Source organism: Homo sapiens, chromosome 3, assembly GCF_000001405.40.
Source record: "Homo sapiens chromosome 3, GRCh38.p14 Primary Assembly".
NCBI lineage: Eukaryota > Metazoa > Chordata > Mammalia > Primates > Hominidae > Homo > Homo sapiens.
Window position 1 is genome coordinate 187,746,270 of NC_000003.12, and position 6,583 is coordinate 187,752,852.

The window sequence follows — 6,583 nt, forward strand, 5'->3', positions numbered from 1 at the left end:
TTGGATTTTTTTGTACGTGCCTTTTCTTTCCCTATCTAATCCCTCAAGCGTTTTAAAGATGTATTATTTCAATACTAATACTATTGAAAGAAGCTTAAATTTTTGGCCATATGTAACAATCCCAGCCCCCACTTTTTTTTTTTTTTTTTCCTTTGGTGCAATTTTCTTTTTCCCCCTTGGACTTTTGCTGAAGTGTGTCTCTCCTGCACTTCAGAGAAATGTTCAAAGGATTTGTTTTGGTTTGGTTTGTTTCTTTCCAGGACAGCAAGTGGTGGGTTTAATCTGTTATTGTTGACTCTTGGGAAATTTCTTGTTGCAAGAAACGTGTGTGTGGGGGGGAGGGTGGGGGTGGCGGGGTGGTATGTGTGTGTTTTCTACAAAATTCTGTGAGCCAAATACCTGTTTGTGTTTTGTTTTCTCTTAAGGTCTTGAGATTTTTGTTTTCGAGGCTCGTTTCAAGGTCGTTGTAAAAAAATCTCTTCAGTCTGTGTTTAAGAGATCAGCCGGAGGGAATTCTAAAGGCCTGCCGTGCCAGTATCACAGATACTGCCTGTATTTAGAACAGACTGCCACAACTACAATGCACTACACGCAGCACAGTCTTCTTAGCTTTGAAGCTGAGTTGGGGGGTGGGGTGGGGGGGGGGTAGAGAAGAAGGAGAAATTCTTTCCTTCTCTTTTTCTCTATTACTTTCTTTTTAAAGGCAATTGCAGTGCAGAATCATTTCATTGTGGGTCCTAGTTTGTTTGTTCAGAGCTGCTAGTTTCCTTATTTAAATGTTGGTTCGGGTTTTTTCCCCTCCTACTCATCCCTGAATAAGGGAGACTCTTGTTTCTTTTATGTCTCTCTCTTAAAAGAAGGGTGTGAGGGGAAAATAATATTTCAGATTCCTCAAGAATTAGCCCAAAATGTTTGGACCAGAAGCAGCTTTCAAAGGTCAGGCTGTTCTGAGCCTTGGCTATGAGAGTCCTTCAAGCGACTTATTAAATTACAGATGAATTCTTAAAGCTTCCACAAAATCTCGTCACTTGTTAATTTCTAATAAAGATATGTCTAAAATAATCTACCTATCTCAACCCAAAATTTGGGTTTATAATGGAGGAGTGATCAGAGCTGTGAAAGATTGCTGTTTGCTGGGATATTTGGAAAATCTCTTTCATTGACAGTCCCGTAAGAAGTTCCATCTATCACCGAAAATGTTGTTGGCAATGCACCCCCCTACCCCACAACACACACACATTTTTAAAGGCTGTATTTTAGGTTTTAAAACCCAGAAAGGTGCAAAGAGGTTGATTATTTTCCACAAGGGCTGGAGCTTAGGAAATATGCGTTAAAGTGTCTGTCCCTGTGAAATCTGAATATTTTAATACTTATTGACAGATGGATTACTGCAGCCTCTGCAGAAAAGCCTGTCTTGTGAACGGTTTTTGAAAAATATACATAGGCCTAATCCTGTCACTGTTGTTGAAATGTACGTTTTACCCCCAAAGACACATGATATTGTCAAGTTCAGATTTATTCTGCCAGAAGGCAGACTATCTGCTTTTTCATTTGAGTCCCCTTCCTTCTCATTTTCAAAGAAATTAAAATGAATCCCGCTGGATGCAAAATGACACCCCGATTTTGTGGAAGGGATTTTCTTTGTGTGTTTATATGTGTAATTTTTTCTTTTATGAGCAATTAGCACTTTAGGATTTCTCAGACGTATCTATATGGTTTGGAATGTGAATTGTATGGCTCTGCCTTACTATTGGGCCCTCAAAAGATTATTTTTATGATTTTTGGTCACTTTTTTCTTTGTCAAAACTGCCATTCAGCCTCATCCACCGCCCCCCTCAACCTGAAACACAGCTTGTCCCTCCTGTGTTCCCTTTGCCACTCCACTCTTAGCCCCATGGGGGCGCTGCAGAGCAAAGGGAAATCTGCTCTCTAAGGCAGTAGTAGAACCAGCCAGAGTGGGGGCTGGGAAGGAATTCACCCTTCTCATACCTCAGCCCTCTTTAATTCTCTGCAGTGAGCCCCTAGAGGGAGAACCCACCAGGGCTGGTTCATATATAATTAACCTCATCACCAGGGACCTCAAATCTTCCCAGCATATTATTTCTGGGACCAAGTGCCAGAGTGCCACATTTTCCTACTGCTTTTTGCCAAATCAATGTGTTTACACTGAAAGAAATTGACCAGAACAGAAGACCAGTTAGAAAGAAAGAGAAAATCATTATTGAAAATTTTCTAAAGATAGGCACTTACTTTTCGGTGAGTCTCTTTTACTTTGAACTGAATGAATGGTGAGGAAAATTGTGCACCCGCCTCTCAATCTCTTTTCAATTCCTAGGAAAGTAACTTTGTCAAATATTATACCAGTTGAATTTCTTCCAGAATGTCATTTCTTCTTTCATTCTTGACCTCTCCTCAGTATCCAGTTGGCATCACTATGTGGGCCTCCCTCACTCCCGCAGTGCCGTGTTACAGGATTAAAGAAAGGGCTGACTTGAACGTATTCTGATTCTTTTAAATCATCCTTAAGAAGCTCTAAAGAGTGATTCCATGTCTGGGGTCGTATGAATAATTCCTGCAGACTTCGGGGCACTACATTTCAACTAGTCCCATGATTTAATGGTTACTGGCTGCTAATACTCAGTAGAGGACCAGGCCAACCTCTTTGCCTCATGGACTGGGCATAAGAATAGGTCCCTGATCATTGCTGCTGGGTAAATATAAGCTTTATTACAAAATAAAATAGCCTGGTCCTAATATTACATCTATTTGAGGAAAAGAACAGACTTCACATCCAATTCCCCCTTGCAAAACCTTCCCCACAATTCAGTCATAGCTGAAAAAGAACCTATCCTTGGAATAAACACGGTTCTGTCCTCTTTCTAAGGGGGCTCACAAGAGGAAGTTGGTTTCACCTGTCAGGAACCTCTGGCACCTTGGTAGGTCTTTAAGATACCACATCATAGGACTAAAGATTTTAAAACTGGGAAGACTTTTTCAAATCAATCACCTTCTCTAGGCTTTCTTCTTTCAGGATTATAGGCTGGGTCTTCACTAGGAGCATGTGTGACCCCAGGAACACAACTGAAAATGGGTCTGCATGATTTGCTGGCCCTCTGTCATTTTAGAGGATCAGTGTAATCTGACAACTTGAGTCTGTAGGTGTATATCTTGTGTCCTTGTAGAACTGAGGGAAGCAAGGCTGCCATGGTCTCTTTGTAAACTGCAAAACTCAGAGCGAACTCCAAGTCATGATGAGTTTTGATGGTCATTTGGGTTTATTTATGCCTCTCAGCTACATTGAAGTACTTGGCACTGCTTTTGATAGATTTGGGAGACACTATCTATCAGACTTGTTAAATTTTACCTGTTCGTTTTATTTCAAATCCTTCATTTAGAACTGTTGTAAACAAGCTTTTTGTAGTATCCTTGGAGAAAGAAAGGCGTTTTTAACATAGCAAGATGAGCAGAAAGTTTTGAGACATTAAAAAAGTGTATAATTTCCAGCTACTGCCTTCTGAAAAGGAAGTATCAGTGTTTAATTTTCATCCATATGCTGCCTGCTTTTAGCCTTTATTGTTCTGAGATTTTTTTTTCCTTTAGAAACCTTTTCAGCCTGGCTCAGAGTTTACCCCCAAACACTAATTTTCCACACTTTTCTCACTTATTTAAAATGGGAATAAATATCAGAAGCTTAAAATAGAGAAGTGATGGGGGTTAGGGGGTGTGTAATGATTTGTTTATTGCGTTCGATCGCTGTTTTGAATAGCAGAGTTTTCACTTCCTATGAAACCTTAGCATGAAGGAAAGCAGCAGCTGGACTCTGAGAGGGATGAGGGAAGGAAAGCACTTGAGTGTTTGTAAACTCAGGGTGGCTGGTCCACCCGCTGCCGTTGCCGGGCTGCTGGCTGCTGTACTTAGCTGTCTCTACTACCTAAGGCTAGAAGTGGAAAAACTTGATTTGCGTGTTGTGCCTGCATTTTTTTTTTCTTCTCCCCACCGCCCTCTTGTACACCTGACCATGCAGAAGCCTATCTGAAGCCAGCTCGATGGCAGGGAGAGCTGGAGAGCGGAAGAATGTGCGGAGGGAGGGAGGGCTCGGTACTTTTCCATTCACATCTCCACAGTGGCTTTTCTTGTTTATTTCAACCTCCACCGGCAGAAACCTTTCAGCTGCCTGAAATTCAAGTCATTATACTGTTACCTGAGGTCAGAAGACAGACACTTTGGTGCACGTTTCCTACATGTCAGTGTCTGTGTAACTTATGTACGTACAGAGACACAGACACACAAATGTGACTCCACGGGGGCACAGTGTAGGGAGAAAAAAAAAAACACTGTATTTGTTGCAAACACACACACACACACACACACACACACGCGCGCACACACACACAAACCCTTGGTTTCTAATTACAGCTGTGCCTGAAACTCTTTATGGGACATTGAGCAAAGCCACTTGTGAGGACTCCGTTTCCTCAGCTGTGTGAAGGAATAGCCCCGATGATTTGAGGGATGCCGGTCTGCGCTTAGTTCTGTACCTTTACATTTCAAAACATATTTACAGAACTGTGCGAGAGGAGTGGAAAGGAGCTGTGTGTATATGTGTACCTGGGGCTAGGGAAGGAGTTAAAATGTAAACTTCTAAGTAAAGAAGGCAGTCCCAGAATCCTCACTCTATCAATTTTTAACCAATTGTAGACCAAAGTCTGGGATTTTGCTGAGTGGGTTCAAAAGCCAATTGAAGATTTTAAACGTTAAGAGGTGGAGGAAGTAGGTTCTAAGACCTTGCACCTTTGATCTCCAGCATTCATAATCAAATGTGACAGTTCCCAAGTGTCTTTTCTGCCCTATATTTCCTTTTTTATTTTCCTTCTATTTGTTTTTGCAAATTGTCCCCATCAATGATAGGAAGGAGATGACATTTGTACACTGGGTAGTATATGGATGTAAAAAACACATCATAACATTCAAGGGAAGGAAGGGAGGGAGGGAGAGCATAAGAGAGGGAGGCAGAGAGGAGAGAAGGAAGGAAGAGAAAAAGAAAAAAATAAAAACCTAGAGAGAGATTCCTGGTAAGAAACTTAGAGGTGGCTCAGCCATCACTGCATTAAAGGTAATTATTTGAAGTCAGAGGAAAAAGCAGATGAGGAGTTTTCCCTTACTAAAGGAAAAAAAAAAAAAAGAGGAAGAAGTCTTGATCTATCAGAACATGAAACCAATGAAAGAGATACTTTCCATCAATATTTTTTATACTTTTTTGATCTTCATTCTTTAAAAAGAAAGGTCTAAAGTTTCTCAGGCCCGATTGTCTAGACTATCTAAAGCCTTTAACAGGTCTTGGCATTCCCAAAAAATAATAAAATGACTCTGATTTATTAGCCGCGACCTCCGCACCCCCATGCCTCCACTGGTTTAGACTTTCTGGAATATTAGGCCTGTATACAAAGACTAGTGGAGCCAATTGTATTCCCCCAGTGTAAGTCTGTTGAAAATTATAGTGTGCTAGAACTGGGAGGGCCTTTAGCCATTATCCAATCTGATGTTCCTGATTTTGTATCATTGGAAATTGAGGCCCAGACACAATCCACTTGCTATATATGCTATAACACTAACACAGCTGGATTCAGAACTTTCATGCCCTATTTCTAAATCCAGTATGCTTTTCTTATGGCATATTATGGAAAGAGTGTAAGGGGTTGGCAGCCTTGCAAGAGCCATTTATTGTGGCCACACATCCAAAGAAGGCCTCAAATTTGGACTTTTGGGCCAGACACAATGACTCACAACTGTAGTCCCAATACTTTGTGAGGCTGAGGTGGGAAGATCACTTGAGACCAGGGATTCAAGACCAGCTTGGGCAACGTAGACCCTGTCTCTAAAAAAACGGAAGAAAAAAAAAATAGCCAGGCATGATGGCACATACTTGTAGTGCTAGCCACTTGGGAGGCTGAGGCAGGAGGATTTCTTGAACCCAGGAATTTGAGGCTGCAGTGAGCTATGATGGCACCACTCCAGCCTGGGCCACAGAGTAAGACCCTGTCTCAAAATAAAGAAAGAAATAAATAAATAAAATTAGACTTTTGATATTATCTCCACTGAGGCTATACATCTCTCTTTCAATCCTAACAGGACTGAAAGAAGATGACCATCATATGCAAGTTTTGTGTGTGGGATCCAGTGTAGGACCACAGGCTCCTATGACACCATGATTGAATGTTGTTAATAATCTATAATTGTTTTATGAATAGTGCAATTGTATTGTAGTTGTGTGGGTGCTGGTGTTAAAAATATAAGGTTTGAAATATATTTGTCGTAGCAACAAGCACACCTGGTGCTCAGAGCTCAGTTTTGTTTTGTTTTTGTGTTTGTTTTTGTTTTTGACACAGAGTCTCACTCTGTTGCCCAGGCTGGAGTGCAGTGGCGCGATCTCAGCCGACTGTAACCTCCGCCTCCCGGGTTCAAGCGATTCTCTTGCCTCAGCCTCCCGAGTAGCTGGGATTACAGCCCTGCACCACCACGCCCGGCTAGTTTTTGTATTTTCAGTAGAGACAGGGTTTCACCATGTTGGCCAGGCTGGTCTCAG